A 20276-nucleotide genomic window follows, 5' to 3' on the forward strand; every position below is an offset into this window, starting at 1 on the left:
AAATGAAAACAACTGGTCGGTCAGGAAGAAGGCATAGCAGTGGTTTCTCCCCACCCCAGCATGTCACCATCGTCTTGGGAACAAGTTTGAGCACCCCTGGCTTAAAGGCGTGTTTCTTGTGGGCTGTCTGGGAACTGCCTGAACATCTCTCTCAGTTCTGATGGGAGAAACACGTGGGCAGGAGAGGTCTGGATACCAGTGGTGGGGCCATAAAGCCACCAAATGCATCCAGAGTCAGAAAAGCAGTCCAGGATGGTGGCCAGTGCCCCAGCTTGGTGCCACCCCACAGCGTCGCCTCCTGTCCATGGGGCCTTGGCAAGCCTTTCGCTCTGTAAGGCTAAACTCCCTCATGTGCCAAACAGATATTCTCAACACCGACCTGTCCCCTCCACGGGCAGACAGACAGTGGGCTCTGCTGCAGGAACTGCCTCTGTTTGGACCGCACCTCCACCTTTCCCAGCAGCCTAACCACAAGCAGGTCACGTAACCTTGGCAGGCCATGCTTCCCCTTCACTCAGTGGGATTAATAATGAGAGCACCTACTCACAGGGTTGTGCCAAAATTTTAATACAGTAAGGCAAGAAAATGCTTGGAACGGTGCAAGTGCCTTGCGCATAGCATATGCTCAATAAATGCTAGCTGTTATTACTATCGGTTTTAAAGTTCATAAACTCAGCCTTCTGCCAAAGAGCACCAAGATCACTTCTGCACTGCTACATGATGAGAGAGGCAGACATTTCTTTTTTTTTTTTTATCTTCATACATGCCCAGTTCCTGGAACAGCTTCGGGGCCACGTTCTTGAGGTTGGCGGAGATGGCTTTCCTGTCCCTAGCCTCCCTTTGGTGGCATTTTCAGAGTTACCTTGTACTTATTGACTTCCTCTGCGTGTCCATTGCTTTATACATATTGTCTCAAATCCTCTTGACAACCATACAAAGTAGGGCTCATTCCCCTTGTTTACAGATGAGAAACTTGGGGCTCCGTGAGGTTCGATAAATGGCTCAAGTTCACACAGGTGGTGGATGATGGTGACAGGGAGAAACCAATACCTCGATTCTAAAGCCCACAGGCTTCCTGCTCCCCGATCCCACCCCTGAGCTTGGGCCTATCTTCCTCCTGGCCTCCCTATCAAAGGCAACTCGTAGAAGAAGCCCCTGGTGATAAAGAAAACACGATTCCTCCTGGAGCTGAGTGGAGTTTACACTTCAACATGGACTGAAGCCTCCAGGGAAAGAAATAAAGGTCTGTAGAGAGAAGCTACGTCCTGGTGAGCAGAGACATGACAGCAGCAGTTTCTGCTACACCTAGAGAAAGCTTCCTTGAATTCAGTACATCCTGGGGAGAAGTCCCAATGGATTCCCTAAGCATGGGAATTTTGAATGCTGGCCTCTCTCTCTCTCTCTCTCTCTCTCTCTCTCTCTCTCTCTCTGTGTGTGTGTGTGTGTGTGTGTGTGTGTGTGTGAGATAGAGAGAGAGAGAGAGAGAGACCTTTATTTCTCCTGAGAGGCCACTTCTGAGCTTTGAATCAGGAGTGATGTGAGCATATATATCCCTAATGGGAATTATAGTTTGGGTTCCAATTTTTATACAAAGATCTCCCACTTCCCAGGGCTCCTTCCAGAGCTGAAGCCTGGCAGCCTTGGCCGAGGCCATCTCTGAACCCTCTGCATGGATGTGCACATTGGCTGTTGTGGTGGTTCAAATTTTGCCCTAGACCCTCATCAAAACCAACCTGGTTAATTGTAACATTGCCTAAGGAGCCAGGTGGGCAGGCACATGGTGGGTGCTTAACCAAGGTGGTGCTGGATTTTGGGGAAGAGAGAACATCCAAATGACAGCAGGGGCCGGTTACTCCTATGGCAACTGCATTTCTAACACAGCCTAAGGACGTTCTTAAGGACTCAGGGATTCATATACATTGCCCTGCCTAATGAGTTCACAAGGTGAAGGGATTTAACCTGCAAAGGATTGTGGTATCTGAGCAATGCAAAGGGGAATTGAGGAGGATTAGGAGAAGTGTCTGCTAGTTATGTGCATGCTTGAATGGAATCCACCTCATAAATTCAGTGTCTGCAAAACTGTGGGTGACAGGAGCTGAGAAGACCTGGTTTCTCGTTCGGACTCTGGCACCAACCAGCTATGGAACCCTGGGCAAGTGAACCTCTCTGGTGCCCTAAGGTAGAGAAATGTCTAAAAATCACTCCAGCCAAATATTCGGCTCTTCCTTTCTAGCAGTTTAAAAATATTTATAATTATAGATTTTAAAAAATAAAGTTATATAATTTTTAGATGCCAACTGAAACTATACAGAACTATATATATACATAACTCTATATAACTCTATGACACAGCACATAAAACTTACAAAGCATCATATAGAACAATGTCTCATAGTTCATATGTCTCAGGGTTCACTTATTTTTTAAACAGATTTATTCACATCTGTAATACAATTATTTCTTTGTTTTGAATACAACCTGGAGGGAAGCATATGGGAGACACAGCCTTTATTTAAAAAAATGAAGTAATGATATGGAATGATTGACAGTTGGATAGAATTTTCATTGTCGGCACTTCTACTTCTTTATATGACCCTGCACCTTTCACAGTGCTAATATTTGTTTAAGGTTGCTTAACGTTGTTCCTCTCCTCTAGAACTTTGGAAGTAAAAGCCATTCTCATCTTTAGAAACAGTAGATTCAATAATAATAAATAATAATAAACTAGAAGCCTGAGTTTCTGTTCCTACCTGTCAGTCAATGCCTAAATAATTTCATTTTCACCCATTCACCCATTCATTACATGAAAGGGGCTGGGATAAGAGAGAACACTCCTGAAGGGGAGGACTACTTTTTCTCCTCCTTTTAGTTCCTACCCACTCTTGCATGGGTTTTATACACATATGTGGTTTCAGATTTTATGAATTCTATACTTTCAAAGTGGGTGAATGTCAAGTTCAGCTGTGACTGTTACCGAGCTGGATGAAGCTGCCCAGATGCAGCCTGCAGATGGTGTGGAATGAGGGGCTCAGTGCACAGAGTTCAAAGTGCAAACAGAAGCTGTGTAAGAAAGTGCAGCAAACTGTGGTTGGTGTTAAAACTGCTCCTGAAAAAAATGGCACTCAAACCAATGTATCTTAGTTGACCTAAACTCTCTTTTGCACATTCTGGGGCAGTAATAAGAAACAAACATTGATAGCTATACATATTATAAAATTTTGCACAGTAAAAGGGGAAGTGCTTCTCTCTTGAGCAATGAGTGCCACTCTGACATTTTTTGTCTCCCTTAAAAAACTCACCTAGGATGGGCCGGGTGCAGTGGCTCATACCTGTAATCCCAGCATTTTGGGAGGCTGAGGCGGGCAGATCACGAGGTCGGGAGATCGAAACCATCCTGGCCAACATGGTGAAAACCTGTCTCTACTAAAAATACAAAAATTAGCCGGGCGTGGTGGCACACACCTGTAATCCCAGCTACTCAGGAGGCTGAGGCAGGAGAATGGCTGAACGTGGGAGGCGGAGATTGCAGTGAGCTGAGATGGGGCCACTGCACTCCAGCCTGGTGACAGAGCTAGTAGACTCCATCCAAAAAAAAAAAAAAAAAAAAAAACCAACAACAAAAACTCACCCACAATGGAATGTGACTATGGAATACCCTGCGGTGTGTTCAGAGCTCTGACTTCTGTTTGCTCTTTTTAACATAACCCCCATCTGGCAAGCTGACTGCTGCAAGATTTTCTGGGTCTTTCTTTAGGATCTACTAACAATGAAAAACATATATATGAAAACCTACACATTTTCAGAAGCACATGAGAGCTGATCAAGACCCACGTACCTCCCAAGGAGAGGAGATGACAGAGGCTGCTCTGTGGTGTTGCTCTCAGGCTATATTTGATTTATTGCTCAAATCTTATTATTTCATTCTCCATTCGAGACTAGCAAAGTTTCTTTTGAGAAGTCACAGTCTCTACGGAGGGTATTCTAACGCCCAGAAGTAAAAGTTGGATGTTGGCAAAGAAAGCAAAGTAGAATCTTTGCAAAATGTTGGAGCTGCATAGTTCTCTCTCCCAATGGACATGTTTCAAGACTGAATACGTTGAGTATTTGATTTAGAATCAATTTAACATGAACTTCGCATTTATGCAAAGCAGCATCAGTCCTGAGATCAGCAGAGCGATTGAGCAAGCCCAACTAGCAAACTGAGATTTCTATTTGTGATGACCTTTCCCATTTGAGGCCCCAAAAATGTCTTGGGGAACTCATTGTTTAAAAAGAAGTCCATCAAAAAATGGACACATATGGACCATGGCATGGGAGGGCAGTGCTGCATACAAAATCAACAATTCTCTAAATGAACACCGATCTTGCAGAAAAACAAAATGAAAGCAAAACAAAAAGAAATTTCTAATTTCAAGAGAAAAACTGAATAACAACTTTCTTTTCATTCATCCTTTCTTTCTTCTTTTTCTTTCTTTCTTTTTTTTTTTTTTTTTAACGAAGCAATGACTTTCTCAGGGAGAAAGATTTGCATCCATGCTGAGGAAATAGACAGGGCCAGTAATCACACAGCAACAATCATCTGTAACTTGCAGAAATTCAATGTATGAATAAGTGTTTAAAGCCTAGATAGAGGGCAATTATCTGGTTATCTGTTTTTCATATTTCTATCAGAGATAAAAACCTCTTTAGGGAAATTTATGAAGGGCCATTTGAAAGAAGGTTTCCCTCTTTTGTAGAAAAGAATTCTCTTAAAAATTAAAACAAATTTGGGAGGCTGGGGGATTTTTGAGAGTTTAAAAGAGTGAGGAAGATGGGGGGCGGGAAGCAACTATTTCCAGCTGCGAGAAACCGATCAACCTCACAGCAAGGTGTGGTGGCTCTGATGCAAGCAACATTCCCATAGATACAGGGCTGTCTGGTTTTCTATTGCTCATTCTAACTTGAGGAGACGCTCAAGTGTGATTTGGGGCTTTGACACTGAAAATAGGTGTGAACTTGGATCCATTTAACCTAGCCCCTTCCCCCACCTCATCCCTTCTCCTGTCCAGTTTGCTTTCAATGGGTCAACAATAAATATTCACCCTTGGCATCCATCTGCAACTTCCAAGAGGGAATGAAGGAAGAACATAAAGTTTCTCTGCATTTGTTTCCAAAGCCCAGCTGGCACAGAAAACAAATGATACAAGATATGACTGGGAAGGCACACAGCCTGTCTTTGTCACCAGGTCTGGCAGATGTGGCTCTGGGTTCACGAGACATCTGCTCCCAGCTACCTTCCTCTCTGCTTCCCTCCACTCTCCAGGCTGGAAAGTGACAACTCCATTGTCCTCAGTTCCCTCCAGCCAGAGGCCTGTGACCTAGTTGTGGCCTAAGCAATATGTCAGCGAAAGTTTGCAGAGAAGGGCTTCCCTTCCTGAATAAAAATACCAGGACCCACAAGAAGGGGTTGAGGCCTCCCATGTCCTTTCTGCCTGGACAGATCAGAGGTGCAGGCCATCTCTCCCTGGCCTCAGCATGGTGGGACCAAAACATAGGAGTGTCCTGCACCCCACCGTATCAGCCTGGACTGCTCACTCTGGAACTCCTGCCCGTCTGCTCAAGCCACTGTGGTCAGCTTTTCTCTACGTGCAGCCAAACATAATTTTCATGGGTAAACCTGAGCAAGGGCCTTACTCTTTCTGTCACTGCAATAAAATACATAATTTCCGTCATGTTTCGGATTTAGTGTTTATTCCTCCACCTTGGCTCCTTTCTGGCATCATTACTCAGTGTTATTGCAAGATGAGGGAGGGAGAGAAAGAGAGAGATTCAGAGAGCCAAGAGAGTATAACACGTGTCTCCCCAACAAAGAGTGAAGCCTGCGCAAGTGAGAGCAGTGTGTCTGAGCTTATCCTCCCAGCATGTTGAAGGTGACAGGAGGTTTTGAGCCCTGTTTTGTGTTCAAGAGCCAGCCTGTGTTCTCGTAAAGTACTCCCTGATTGTGTTCACGGTCAGCAAAGATCTCAAAGGAAATGCTCCCTTTTTACCACTCCAGGACATCCTAGTTATTATATTTTATGAGAGGGAAGAGGTCAAGAAAGACATACCTCTTTGCCTTGGCTGGAGGCTCAGCAAAAAGGCTAAAGAAGGGGACTGGTGGCATCTGATGGGGAGGAGCAGGGGAGGCCGAGAAACAAGAGTTGTGGGAAAAGTGCTTTGAACATTTTAATATCTGTTCAGGCACCAGTGTAGCTTCTGAAGATTTCTTGAAAAATGGGAGTTGGAGAAAGCAATTACGAAAATGAGGGAAAATATCTTGCATTTGTGAAATGATGGGAGAACTATTTTCTAAACAGAAAATAAAATATTTTTAAGTGGCTTTGTGTTATTAAGCTAAGAAGATTTGTGATGTGTTTTATGGTACCTCTTTCTGATGCATGTAAAGACTTCCAACAGGAACTTGGTAATTTAGATGCAAGCTTGTCTAGAATATTATTAGCCCATTTTGCAGAACTCAAATGAGACACAAAGACATCTATTGACTCATCTAGGTCACTAGGAAGTTACCTGAGAAACTGAAAATTTGCTTGAGTTTCCTGTGTGGGCCTCCTCTGCTGCCTCCAACAAGACAAGCCATCAAAGCTACCTTCATGTCTGGGCTTTGACAAAGTACATGATTACAAATGTTCCCAAGGAGCAGGGAAAATGGGAGTCTCTCAGAGGCCCAGAGAACCTGCTCAAAGGTATACAGGCAAAATGGCCTTTTCCTTAAGAAGAGCCTTGGAGAAAATAAAGCTACACCAGCAGTCTCAATGAAAAGAGACATCTCTGTTGTCCTTGTGTGTTCAGATCAAAGACTTAGCATGACATCCTGCCCCAACTAGCCTCCATATTTAAAATCAAAACTTGTTAAGTTGAATTTCATAAAGGGCTCTCGTTCTTTTTCCACAAGGGAAGGAAGGCTGACCTGCTGGTGAAAAGCCCTTAGGGTGGACTGAGTTACCCACTGCTGTCCATGCCCATGTGGGATCCTGCAGCTCTAACTTTGCCCAGGCTGTACTCTCGGCCTAGACCACTCTTCCTTCTTTCCTTTGTTCCCAACTTCCCCTCCCCCAACTCCTGTGTCCCTCTCTCCAGGGAGCCTCCTGTAATGTCCTCCAGGGCATTGTGACCTCTCCCTCCCTAGAGCAGACAGCGGTTGACTGGCTGCCTTCTTAGATAACTGAACATTGATAGCCACCATTCAGATTTATTGCTTACTTTATATGGCTGGGCAAAGCACCTTACACAGATTAATTCGGTCCACACAGCTACCTTAATAACAGGTACTATTGCAATCCTTACTCTGCAGATGAGGAAACTAAGGCTCAAGAGAGAAGTTCTATATGCTATTTGATGAAAGCCAGAAAAAAGAAAAGAAAGAAAAGGCCATCACTGTGTCATCTGAGCACATTCCCTGCACAGACCTCCTGCCATTGCTTTCTCTAATAGCAGGTGCTCTTATGCCTCCAGACTCTTCTCTCTAGGCCTTGGGCTCCTTATTAAAGTCTGTGTGTGCACAGCGGCTGTGCAGCCGTCCTCTGTCCCAGCATCTCACCAGGCTTGATTTCTCAGTAAAGGGCTACATATTTTCTGAGCACATCTTTCGGATCTATTTTGAGAGAATGTAGGAACGTCTCAGCTACTCATTTGCTTTCAAAAGCTCAGAAAGGCTTCTTGCCATTCAGAATCGGGTCAGTTGCTGTTTCCAAAGGTGCTTCTGCTACTGGTTGCTCCATGCCCCTGTACTCGGTGTGTGAGCAGCTGTGGGGCCTCCTACAGCCCCCTAAACCCCACTAATAAAGTCAGTCTGAAGTACAAAGACAATCCTCCCCAAGAAAGCAGAGCCAAGAGGAGGTTTCTTTGGGGCGGCTGCCATTTGCTCTTTTAACACTTAAACATTTCAAAATTACTCGTCATTTTCTACAGTTTCTTAGCGTGCAAAAAGTCTAAATGGCAAAGGCATGATTGTGAGTTTAGATAGTTTTATCACACCTTTTTTTTTTATAGTTTCAAAATGTGTGGGCAGTTTCAGATGTGAAACTCCATCTCACAAAGGAGGAACTACAGTCTGATTCTTTAACATCCAAGAGAGCAGCCAGGATGCCCCATCCCACAGTTTCCTTGTGGGCCAGGGTGGGTCAGATTTGCTAAGACCCACTGTTAGGGACTGCAGTATGTCTCCCTAGAATTAATACATTGAAGTCCTAACCCCAAGGTGCTCATAATTTGACACTATTTGGACATAGGGTTTTAAAATGACGTCATTAGGCTAGCCCCAATACAATGCAATTGGTATCCTTATAAGAAGAGATTAGGATACAGACACACACAGAGGGATAACCATGTGATGAAACAGGGAGAAGGGAGCTGTCTGCAAAACCAAGGAGAGAGGCCTCACCAGAAATCAGCCTTGCCGACACCTTGATCTCACACCTCCAGTCTCCCTCCAGAACTGTGTGAAAATAAATTTCTGTGGCTTAAGCCTGAAGTCTTAAGATCTTAAGTGTTCAGTCAAGCCAGAAGAAGTGTCTTAATAAATATTCTTCTGAAAAGAGCGGCAAGCCGATGCTTAGAGAAGAACATACTTTATACATGCAGCTTTGTACTTGGCAATTCCCTTTGAAAGACTGCTTCAGTGGGGTAAACTTGAACCGCTGAGAAGACAAGCAGGGAGTCGGTCTCGCTGAGATTTTTACCTGTGGTTCTAGGAACGCAGAGGCATGTGAGTGTTCAGGCTTTGCATAGACCACTAAGCCACTTCTAAGAACAAGGCTACCTGAGCCATTTTGCAAAAATATGTACGTGCCGAGGCTTTTCCTCCCCACACCTACCTCAACTCTTTCTGCCGACACACTGCACTTTTCAAGGGAACCCAAGTTTGGGTTCGGCAAGAATTGTACGTTGCACACCGTGTGTGATAATTCCAGGGAATTTCAATCGCATCTTGTCTTCCTTCCTAAGCAAATTCGGTGGGAACCTGGTGTGGTGTGATAGAAAAAGCCCCGAGTTCTCTGTGGTAGACCACATCAATTTCATGTGCCAGTCTCTCAGACTCCGGCTTGCCTCTCTCAAGGAAGGGAACAATGGTTTGCTTGGCTTCACTCCTCTCTTTCCCCCCAATTTCCACATGGGTATCTGGCTAAAAATGAGTTACAGGTTTCCTTCTGTGAGAATTGCATGGACTGATAAAGTACCATCCCAGGAAGAAAACAAAGATGCTGTCTTCCCTTTCGGCTCACAGTTGCCGTTGGGGAGGGAACACACGCTGTAAATTATAGGCAGCCAGAAGTGACCGCATTGACCACTGCGAGTGGCCCAGCTATGGCAACAGGCTGAGAACTCTGGGGGAGAGCCATTTGTTGGCAGGGATGGTGATTCTTCTAGCATCAAGCTCTAAGATGATGACCAAACGGTATCAAAAGAAATGATATTTTGCTACCTCTCCGGCTTGGGTGAATGATGTGGACAGTTAACCTGGACAATTTAAACCTTTATGTTGATGGATCACTTGGATGAAATTAACCAGGAAATTGCCAAGATTTCACTTGGCCCTCTGACATCAAATCTCAATATTATATTACCAAATTAGAGATTCTAAAGAACCCTGAGTTCCTTTCACTGAAAGGAAGGAGTGGAAAAACCTTTCCAGATGATCCCTTTTGAGTCTTGGTGCGAGCTCAGGCCCTCCCTACACTGCCTCCGTGAAAGCTAACCGACCCTTGTTCCTAACCTAGCGCAGGTCAGCTGAGTGTCCATCGGGCACAGGAGCCCTGGGCTTGTCCGGGAGATAGCCAGACTCCTGCTATTTCCTGATGTCTGCATAGCTCAGCGTGTCCCTCACCATCTTTGCCGTTGGCCAGTAAGGAGAGCCCCAGGGGCCAGCACTGCACACTGAAACCCAACCTATTGCTCAATGGAATGCTTAAAAATTTCCTGAATCTGCCTTCCTGAGTTGATAAAATAGGAAACAATACACGTTCTGAGGGGGTACTGAAAGCAGAGTAAAGCCAGGAAGATCTTTTTTTTCTGTTATTCTATACAAATATTGCTTCCTCTGCTTGTTAGCAGCCCAGAGGAAATGCAGCCAGGGAGCCGTTTGCAGCTTTTCACCAGTGGCCGGTGTCTCTGTGTTACCAACCAAACGACGCTGCAAGACTAGTGACTAACGCACGTCTGCATGATTCAACTTCACTAAAATTCCCTCTGCTGCCAGTAAAGAAGCACTTGAAAACTCTTTAATTTGAAACTTGAGCTTGGTTAATGACTTGTTTTCTTCTCTTTCTCTTTAACTTCTCTCTTGCCATCTCCAACACACACACACACACACACACACACACACACACACACACACACACACTCTCTCTCTCTCTCTCTCTCTCTCTCTCTCTCTCTCATCAAGTTTTTTAATTTCAGGGACCCGGAAACATACAGCCCCGTGCATTCACAATAGCATTTGCTGTGATAAAGTGGCCGGCAAGCCCTCTGCATTCCCCTGCTCACTTAGCTGTATGAATAAATAATGAGTCACAGATACAATTTGGGTGCTCAAGAGAGTTTGTAGCCAGAAAATTAATTATTCTCCCATCCCAGCCCACTCCATCTCAGCTTTGCCAAACCATCAAGATACACTTTGCAGGCACTGGTCAGAGTGCGTGCCCCGACGCACACGGCAATGCCTTTGAGACATTTTATGTTATTATTTTTGTTTGTTTAAGCACAGCCCTCTTTTACCACGAAAGATACACAAGACGCACATGCACACACATACTCACACACTCACAGCTCAACCACAGCTTTGTCCATTTCAAGAGGCTGGTTTCAAAAATGGAGACAGGTTTTCCACCCTGGCTGTTCCTATTCATAAGCCTGTAATCTAACGACTTAAGCTGCGAGAATGCTTAACTCGGGAAACTTCTCTATTGCCCTTTTCCAGAGAGACCTCGGTATGCCACAATTTGCTTCCTTTCTCTCTTGAAAGATGCTGGTTGTCTCTTTGCATTGAGGCTACAAGGAAAAACACAGCACAGCCCCATGCTGATGATTTTAACCTAACCAAGTCTGTCAGTCTCCTGTACTCTCTGCCTTATAGAGACAGCTGCCTTGCCACTTTGGCCCTGAAGTCCCCAGGCTGGTGCAAGGCTATCTGAGAGCCTCCGCCTCCTGCCCCACACTGGCACCAGCCCTCCTGGCTGGCTCTGTGCATGTGCCTGCTAAGCCCCAGGGCAGGCTGCATTCTGGGCCACACAGCATGCCGAGTTAAGGATAACTCAGACACAGGCATTCCGGGCAAGGGACAGCAAAATAAAACCCAGGGAGCTTCGTGCAAGCTTCATAATCTCTAAGCCTTTAAACAAGACCAGCACAACTTACTCGCACTTGACAAAGTTCTCACGCACCGACTGAACACTCCAACAGCATAACTAAGTATTTATTAAAACATTTCTGAAGAGCTTCCATCTGATTAGTAAGTAATCCAATAGACTTGTAATCATATGCCTCAGTTTGAATTCCTCTCACAAACAAGACAGGGAACTGGCAGGCACCGAGGCATCTCTGCACCGAGGTGAAACAAGCTGCCATTTCATTACAGGCAAAGCTGAGCAAAAGTAGATATTACAAGACCAGCATGTACTCACCTCTCATGAAGCACTGTGGGTACGAAGGAAATGACTCAAATATGCTGTCTGAAGCCATCGCTTCCTCCTGAAAATGCACCCTCTTCTGAAGGCGGGGGACTCAATGATTTCTTTTACCTTCGGAGCGAAAACCAAGACAGGTCACTGTTTCAGCCTCACCCCTCTAGCCCTACATCTCTCTTTCTTCTCCCCTCTGCTGGATACCTCTGGGACTCCCCAAGCCCTATTAAAAAATGCACCTTTGTAAAAACAAATATTCAAATTGTTAAAGATTAAAAAAAAAAAAAAAGCCAGCGCCGCCTTGGCTGTGGGTTGGTGATGCTCACCACGCTGCGAAACCCTGTGGTTTGCATTCAGTGTGATTCGTCCTGCCTGCTGACCACTATGCTGGGTTCAGACTTCTGACACTGCCAGGCTACCCAACTTGTGGTTCTGTGGTTGTTTATGAGGCCCAAAGAAGTTTTCACACAACCCAAATTACAAATTTAACTGTTCCCCTTTCCACAGCCCATCTCAATTGGTTCTTGCCAATCATGTGACTTAAGTGATGTCAATTTTTTTTTTTCTTTTCTGAGCAATGCCCTTCCTTCCCTCCACCTGCCCTCCCCCAGGCTGTGCAAGAAAATAGCCGAGTAGACTTTGCAAGAGGGGGGGATGTAGAAAAAAGTGACTCAGTCACTTATTATATCTCAATGGTCTTTGCTGATTTAGTACAACTCGGCTCCTGTTGTTATTTGTGGTTTTTGGAACTACTGATTATTTTGATAAAGATTTCATTGCTGCTTATTCAATAGTAATTCAACGCTGGCATCAAGCCGCTGCTCCGACAGGATGTGGATCCCATCATTTAAAATGCTAGGCATCAGCTCCGGGAGAGTTAAGTCCTTGGTAACGTCTATCATGGCATAAGTGAAACTATAAAAGGGAAAAATAAATAAAAAGAAATGTTTTGGTGAGAGTCTGACCCCTACAACGGGCTGGCAACTCACAGGTATTTTAAAGCCTGGGAAAGGGAAAGAATTTTACTTTTGAAATAAAAGGACTGTTTTAATGAAACCAAAATTATGTGGTTTTATTCCCCCTAAATGGACAACTTTAGTATGTATCTCTTTCAGTAAAGAGATAAAATCATAGTACAGTCTTAACACACACACACACACACACACACACACACACACACACACAAATTAGGAAGCTAAAGGAAAACAAAGCAGAGAGAATTTCTGTATTTGGGACAAAGCAGTGGTTACTCTGCAGATGTTTATTTGTATTGTCACTTGGGAAAGCTCCCTGTATTGCCTTTCTCTAGTTCAATTCAAATCAATAGGCTAATTTACACCTGTAGGTAAAACTACACTTTGAGCACATGAGGATGCCACAATAGAAGGGGAACCAGGAGGAGACACTTCTCCTGGGGCTGACTAATGAATATTATATAGCGCGTCCTCTACCTTAGAAAGACATGCCTGTTTGAAGATGCTAAAAACAGGATAATTTTGTAAGTGGGCAAACCACTGTGGTCACACGTATTTCATTTTCCGGCCCCACTGGCTTTACCTGCTGACAACTAAAACGTCATTTTGTTTTGTAGTTCCAAGATGAAGAAAGGCTTATTTTCCTGATTTACTACCTTATTCATTTGGCTCTGCTCTGCCTACATCCGCCATAGCACTCTGCGCACGTGAAATTTCGACACATAGGGTCAAGAGAACCTGTGTGATGATGGGTTGTAAATGCCAGTCCTGGATTCTAAGCTGCAGTAGCCAGCACAGGCACTTCAGAAAGGCTGAACTCCCACAACACTCCCTCGGTTTTCCCTCATCCACTTAATTTCACACACACAAAGACCCACAACGATAGTAGCTTCCATGGCACAAGTCTTTCAAAAGGAACAGACACAATTTTTACTTACTCCTGTTTTGACTAAAGCAGGAATTGAAACTCAACAGACCGCTTTCTCTTACACTTGTGAGAAGTTAGCTGGCCACATGTTGACACTGCTAACATCTAAAAAAGAATAATAGTGCTACATCTCTTTTATGAGGCTCGTGAATCTTTAAATGTGATGCGTGTTTCATATTGCTTCTCAGTGCAAATCCCCTGTGAACATAATGAACATAATGGGCCTGTGTTGTTACCCTCCCTAATAAAGTCAAGCCTGAGTTGAACCCCAAACCAGGTTCATTTTTCTCTCCCACACTTAATATTCCCTGGAAGGGCCCTAAGAGCCGAGGGCTGTAATGTGCAGCTGCCACTGCAGAGTCGACTCACACTTAATAATGACTTAGCAATTCAAGGGGCCATACAGAATATCCTTGGGAGATTTAATTTTAGAAACTCCCCAGATGCTTTTAGCCTTAGGTGTCCAGATGCTTAGGAGAAGGGTTTGGATGAGGCAGTGAACGGCCTGAATTCTCAACTTTTCTCTTTGGGCCTAGCTCTAGCCAGATATCTATTTCTTCCAGTGGGGTCTTTGTAGGACAGGTTAGAGTGTAAAGACACTCTAAGGCTGGGGCTCGTTGAAGCCTCACTATACGCTGTCATCTTCGGGACTGAGGTTTCAACAGGGCACCAGGGGGCAGAATACAAAGGCCTGCACGCTGGCCCTGCACGGCCTTCCTGGGCGGGGTTAACAGCCACGGCAGCCGCAGCATAACTTCGCAGCTTGGTGAGGCAACAGTTGGAGCTTTTCTGGGCACCCTCCAGGTCATGACAATAAGTAAAGCCTCAGCCAGCTGCTGGTGAACTTGGCCTTACCACTTCCCTAGGAGCCCAAGACAAAAGGGCACGTCTGTCATCAATGAACCGCCTGGAGAAATACTTAATCCTAACTTAACTAGAACGGTTTAGGACTCTTTAAGTTTGTGTATTGACCCACACCCTCTGTCCTAGTTCCTGCAAGTGACTCAGACCCTGGGTTTCTGGCTTGGGGATTGTACCCAAGAGTCTGCAGTGGACTGTGGCTTTGCCAAGGAATTGGATGACAGTTTTCATTCTCGCTCATATTGGCTGCAGCTTCTAAATGCCACCATGGGTGGGGGGGCGGGGTGGGGAGAAAATGCTCAGGTGTCTTTTTTAATGGCCCTATGAAAATACTAGAAAGGGTTGACAGATGTTTACCTGCATAACCCTGTAATTAATGTATAGACTTCTGTGTGCAGTCCAATCCAATCAAAGCACCCTCTGTTAGGGATATTCATTACATGATTGCCGCATGCTATCTCTGAACTCCACATGTCTATTATAAAGTAGATTCTCTGGCCAGAAAATGGAGGCAGAGATGGACCACCCAAATTGGATGGAGTCTAAAATCCCAGGAGGACAATGCTACTGAATTTTCTCTATGTAGCGTGGATTTTCCTTATTTTCTAAATCTGTTTTCTAACAGATGTCCTATCCAGAAACTTCCATGCTATGCTGACAGTGAGGTCAGGGATGATTTTTAAATTGGGACGTAGACATCAAAGCTTCATGGGATGACTATAACCTGCTTTTGGCAAATCCAATGGTTTGAGACAGCTAGGGAGCCCTAGAAGCCCAGCTATTAAAGATGTTCTTTCCTGGACACTCATGATGGTGCCCACACAGGACACATCTCTCTTCCGCACAGGCCTCTCACTTCTTTAGATAAAGGTGCAATTCAAATTTAAGCTACCCAAGACTTTATTTTTTTTGAGACACAGTCTTGCTCTGTCGCCCAGGCTGGAGTGCAGTGGTGCGATCTCAGCTCACTGCAAGCTCCGCCTCCCAGGTTCACGCCATTCTCCTGCCTCAGCCTCCCGAGTAGCTGGGACTACAGGTGCTCGTCACCACGCCCGGCTAATTTTTTGTATCTTTAGTAGAGACGGGGTTTCACCGTGTTAGCCAGGATGGTCTTGATCTTCTGACCTCGTGATCCACCCACCTCGGCCTCCCAAAGTGCTGGGATTACAGGCGGGAGCCACCGCGCCTGGCCTCAGTATTTACTTCTTAACCTTTCCTAGATGAAGAGGTATTGTTGGGGAAATATGATTTCAAAAGGAAAAAAGAAAGAAAAAAGGCAGACATTGAAACCAACCTGCCACTTGAATGTTATGTAATGATATGAAGAGCAGCTAGGGAGAATTATTTCAAATGAAAGAGTTTCAACTGCTTCCTCCTCTGCTTGCAGACTGCAGGTGAGCAGTGTCGATGGCACCCAGGAACTTGTTGAGACTCTGCATTGCGGGCTGTATCCCAGGCCTACTGAATGAGAATCTGTATTTTTACAGTTCCTCGGGTGATTCTATACACATTAAAGTTTGAGAAACATTGCTGAGGAAAGCCTTGCATCTATTGGAATTTAGTAGAGAAATAATAACATGGTGTTTGCATTCTTTGAGATGTCTTTTTCTTCCTTTGAGCTTTCTGAAACTTTTCTACTTTGTTGCTCTGACATAATTTTGTAAGCCCTGGATGTTTCTAGACAGCAGAAACCCACAAGAGGCAAGGCCCACGTCCTCTAAGGTAGCATTTTCTTGGATTGTCACTCGGACCTCTCATCTCAAGTGCCGTGTTTGGGTCAAGTTTACAGTCTGAGGTTTGACACACAATGTAGGGAGGCTCTCCCTGTGCTCCATCTGCCTAGCTGGTGGCCATGTGTATATAAACAGAAGGCTTTTTCCTCTGGGGGCACCAGACTCTCAGTTTTCACCTAGTCTGCAGTTTGGAAACACATTAATCCTGTGAGTTCTTCCAGACACACAGCACGTGTCCACGTGGCAGGCAGCGTCGCAGGTGGCCTTGCAGTCCTGCCATGGGCTGTCCCCCTCCCAGAGGGTTGCCTGGCCCCGCTCTCCAGCCACTGCCTTGCCGAGGTCATGCCCTCCTTTGCTGCAAAAGAAAGGGCCCACTCTTGAATTGTGCTTCCTTGGAACAGCCAAGCCTCCCAGGTTCCAGAGGCTCCATTTGTGCAGGCACCCAGGGGTTTGGCTACTTCTCTCAGACGCATCTGGGTCCTTTCAGGCTGCTCTGGGCCAGAAAGCTTGTTTAAAATAGCTTCTCCTTACAGAGTTTTGGCCCTTCTGCTTCTGGTGGCATTTGAAACCAGGAGGGTAAAACTGGAAAACTTAAACAAACCCTCTTTGAATGTTAGAAATGTTCAGCATTCGAGGTTTGGTCAAATGATGGAAAACATTCCGGGTTGGTACTGAACTTTCCAGCCAGTTCCTCCAACCTGACGCTAATTATAGCCTGAGATCCAGGCAGGGAAAGCAAAGGGAAATGAGGAAACTAAAATTACTTGGAGTTAGAGAAGCCAGAATTCATGTTGGTCAGATAGTGTACAATTCAATAGTTCAGTTTATGTGGCAAATAATGGTTAATGTCCCAAGTCTGATCAAAGCACCTGGATTCAGGAACTTTGCACTCTTATTGAAATGCTACTTCTTTTCCCTGGGGTAGGCAAATTACCAAACTTTCACATGGCTATTTAGAAACTAAAGCATAACACTGCCTTTTTCACTGGGGTGCTATGAGGGTCAGTAACTGGACTATGCAAAGTGGTTTTGAATGGAACAAGAAAGAGATCTGTGGTTGACATTTCAATATGGAAACATCCAGTATGTGAATTTTAATATCTGCACTTGCCAGGGATTATAAAGGCATGACTTTAGGGCCCTAACTGAGAGGACCCAGTAGGATCGAGCTGAAAATACCCTCTGTAGTTGGTGCTACAGAGATCTTTAGTATTCACCACTTAATTTTTGAATTAAATGTTCCTTTGAAATAATAATACTCAGCTCTACAGATTCAGGCTAAAATTCTTTCAGATCCTCAAAATGTCCAAATCAAATAAAAATATCAACTCAACTGAGAAACAAAATATTGTACTTAAAATTGTGTGGTGTGTATTTTAATTTCCTCCTCTCTAAATTCCCTTTCCTTCCTCTTGCCAGTATAGAAACTGGCTGGATTTTTGGAAGGAGAGCAGGAAGAATGATCTTGTCTATGTTCTGGTTCTGATTTCATTTCTTTCTCAAGTTTTTAGTTTATTCAAAGCAGAAGGAAGAAATCACCTTGTACCCCACATTAACGTAACTATAACTACCAGGATATGATCTTTCAAGCATTTGGGGCTGATTGTGAATGATCCACCACATAAAGCCATCACTGGCTCTTGAAATATATGTGGATGTATGTATATGTATTGTATATTATATATGATATTATATTACACATATATGTATTACATATCATGTATACTATTTATTTATTTATTTATTTTGGTAAGAATATTTAACATGAGATCTACCCTCTTAACCAATTTTCAAGTGTACAGTATTGTTAAAAATACTTATATATAGGCATTATGCTGTACATCACATCTCTAGAAAGTAGTCATCACGTCTAATTAAAACTATGCCAACCGAGCAATTTCAGATTTCTCCCTCCTCTCCTGGTAACTTCTGTTCCACTTGCTAATTCCATGAGTTTGACTATTTTAGATACCTCATATTAAGTAATATCATGCAGTATGTATCCTTCCATGGCTGACTTATTTCACTTAGCATAATGTTCTCCAGGTTCATCTATGTTGTTGCATATTGCTATACTTCCTCCTTTTTTAAGGCTGAATAATTCCACTATATGCATATAACCATATTTTCTTAATTCACTCATCTGCCAATGGACATTTAGGTTTTTTCCACATTTTGCCTATTGTGAATAGTGCTGCAATGAACTTGGGAGTATAAAGAAATATCTCTTTGAGATCCTGATTTCAATTCTTTCGAATAAATACCCAGAAGTGGGATTCCTGGATCATATAGTAGTTTTATTTTTAATTTTTGAGAAACCTTCACATTGTTGTCCATAGCAGTTGTACCATTTTGCATTCCCACTAACAAGTATAATATGTGTGTGTGTATAATGTTTGTGTGTGTATATATGTATGTATATACACACATATGAAATCAAATATATACTAATTGAAGATACTGTTTCACACACAAGGCTTGTATCTGAGATACTAATCCTTCCAGGATAAGATAATTTGGAGAATTAGCAAGCATTAGCAGAACTAAAGCATTATTTGGAGTAAAAAGGAAGAGTATTCTTCTGGTTTCCATAGTCAGAGGGCAATGCTATTTGTGTGCCAGACACATCAGAGCTATAAAGGCCTTCGATTATTGTGGAATATTACTTTTAGTTGGTCTCCCTGTGCTTTTTTCACATTTTAGCATTGTTCATAATTCTCTAACTTTATATTGAAAATGAAGTCCCAAGGATATTATCTTTTGCCCACATGGACTGCATAGTGTGTGAACTGAGCCTTCAGACCTTACTCAGACTCAGAGTTGATGCTGAACAGACATTAGGGGGTTTCAGAAATTACCTGCAGCTCTTAAAGAAATTCTGAGCTACTTGGAAATTTTATTTCTTATGTCTGCATTAGTACTGTCATCAATGAACAGAAGTTCATGGAGCGTGCACTGTCAAATTTTGCAGGTGATCTTCAACCTATTCCTGTGGTGCTTTTGTGTTTAAACAAAGAATCCCATCATTATCCTTTTGATTGGTCTCACTTGCCAATTTCTGCTACTTTTAAATCACATTTCCATGATTGATGGACCTCTTTTCTATCTACCCCTCTATATTTGCTATGGCCATACCTATTTACGTGTGTACACATACACACACACACACACACACGTGTATATGTGTATACATATACATATGTATGTATGTGTGTATTTAGCTTTATCTTCTCCTCAAAACCTAACTCTAAGAGCCCTTCCTCCATTTCCTTATCTATTAGAGTTTACATTTGGGTCTGTCCCCCCACACCCTGCTTGGGCTCATGATTTTTATGCTTTTATATAATTAGTGTGTAGCATGCTCCAAGGATCATAGCAACATTGCTTTCCTGTGATCCTATAATTCTTTTTTTTCCTTTTTTTTGAGATGGAGTCTTGCTCTGTTACCCATCTGGAGTGTAGTGGTGCGATCTTGGCTCACTGCAACCTTCACCTCCTGGGTTCAAGTGATTCTCCTGCCTCAGCCTCCCGAATAGCTGGGATTACAGGCATGTGCCACCACACCCAGCTAATTTTTTGTATTTTTAGTGGAGACAGGGTTTCACCATGTTGGCCAGGCTGGTCTTGAACTCCGGACCTCAAGCTATCCACCCACCTCAGCCTTCCAAATTGCTGGGATTAGAGGCATGAGCCACCGCGCCTGGCCTCCTATAATTCTTTTATTATTGCAACATAAATTTACTTGTCTTAATCTTAGGTAGAATTATTCAGTTCCCCCTTTATCCCTGCATTGTTTATCTCTTCTGATCTTTTTCCTGGGCCTTACCAAATATCAGGAACACCCCACTTTCTCTGCAACCTTATATATTTCACTGAGTATTTATTGAGTACTCAATTATTTCACTGAGTATTTATTTTCTAGCCATGGACAAGATGAACCTGGTTGGTTATACTTAGAAGAAGGTTTACAGTCTTATAAGCCATTCACATTGGAAATGAATGAATAGCAAATACTGAAAGCACAGGTATGGCCAGGATTAAAACTAGGGTAAGGTGAGTGAGGCTCCCAGGATGCAAAATTTAAAGAGGCATCGACTCTCAGTGTCGACCCCGTGTCGCACAA

General features: G+C 43.7%; 1 protein-coding gene and 1 long non-coding RNA gene across 14 annotated transcripts in view, besides 6 other annotated features; both read right to left on the bottom strand.

Annotated features, from left to right (window-relative positions):
• Positions 1-12118, bottom strand: part of RUNX1 (RUNX family transcription factor 1) — a 261502-nt gene extending 249384 nt beyond the window's left edge. For 5 of the 13 annotated variants that reach the window (XM_011529768.3, XM_011529767.3, XM_005261069.5 and 2 more), the window contains exons 1-2: positions 11984-12118; positions 11658-11774 (exon numbers count right to left, since the gene is read on the bottom strand). In XM_011529768.3, coding sequence (XP_011528070.1) covers positions 11658-11715 — 58 coding nt within the window. In that variant the 5' untranslated portion in view covers positions 11716-11774; positions 11984-12118. Of the gene's footprint in view, positions 1-11657 lie in introns of all 13 variants that reach the window. The other 8 variants (XM_047441015.1, XM_047441010.1, XM_047441012.1 and 5 more) reach the window with 2 other exon arrangements.
• On the bottom strand, positions 741-2242 carry RUNX1-IT1 (RUNX1 intronic transcript 1). The gene has a single exon (NR_026812.1). It is a non-coding gene; the product is annotated as an RUNX1 intronic transcript 1 (long non-coding RNA).
• Positions 7395-7494: an enhancer, noted in NCBI's record as "active region_18413". NCBI's record gives its function as "activates an Ori minimal core promoter by ATAC-STARR-seq in GM12878 lymphoblastoid cells {active_cell/tissue: GM12878}" and the evidence as "EXISTENCE:reporter gene assay evidence [ECO:0000049][PMID:35858748]".
• Positions 8495-8754: an enhancer, noted in NCBI's record as "active region_18414". NCBI's record gives its function as "activates an Ori minimal core promoter by ATAC-STARR-seq in GM12878 lymphoblastoid cells {active_cell/tissue: GM12878}" and the evidence as "EXISTENCE:reporter gene assay evidence [ECO:0000049][PMID:35858748]".
• Positions 9045-9094: a silencer, noted in NCBI's record as "silent region_13277". NCBI's record gives its function as "represses an Ori minimal core promoter by ATAC-STARR-seq in GM12878 lymphoblastoid cells {active_cell/tissue: GM12878}" and the evidence as "EXISTENCE:reporter gene assay evidence [ECO:0000049][PMID:35858748]".
• Positions 10076-10135: an enhancer, noted in NCBI's record as "active region_18415". NCBI's record gives its function as "activates an Ori minimal core promoter by ATAC-STARR-seq in GM12878 lymphoblastoid cells {active_cell/tissue: GM12878}" and the evidence as "EXISTENCE:reporter gene assay evidence [ECO:0000049][PMID:35858748]".
• Positions 11341-11480: an enhancer, noted in NCBI's record as "active region_18416". NCBI's record gives its function as "activates an Ori minimal core promoter by ATAC-STARR-seq in GM12878 lymphoblastoid cells {active_cell/tissue: GM12878}" and the evidence as "EXISTENCE:reporter gene assay evidence [ECO:0000049][PMID:35858748]".
• Positions 11841-11960: an enhancer, noted in NCBI's record as "active region_18417". NCBI's record gives its function as "activates an Ori minimal core promoter by ATAC-STARR-seq in GM12878 lymphoblastoid cells {active_cell/tissue: GM12878}" and the evidence as "EXISTENCE:reporter gene assay evidence [ECO:0000049][PMID:35858748]".

This window comes from Homo sapiens, chromosome 21 (genome assembly GCF_000001405.40).
Source record: "Homo sapiens chromosome 21, GRCh38.p14 Primary Assembly".
NCBI classification, from domain to species: domain Eukaryota; kingdom Metazoa; phylum Chordata; class Mammalia; order Primates; family Hominidae; genus Homo; species Homo sapiens.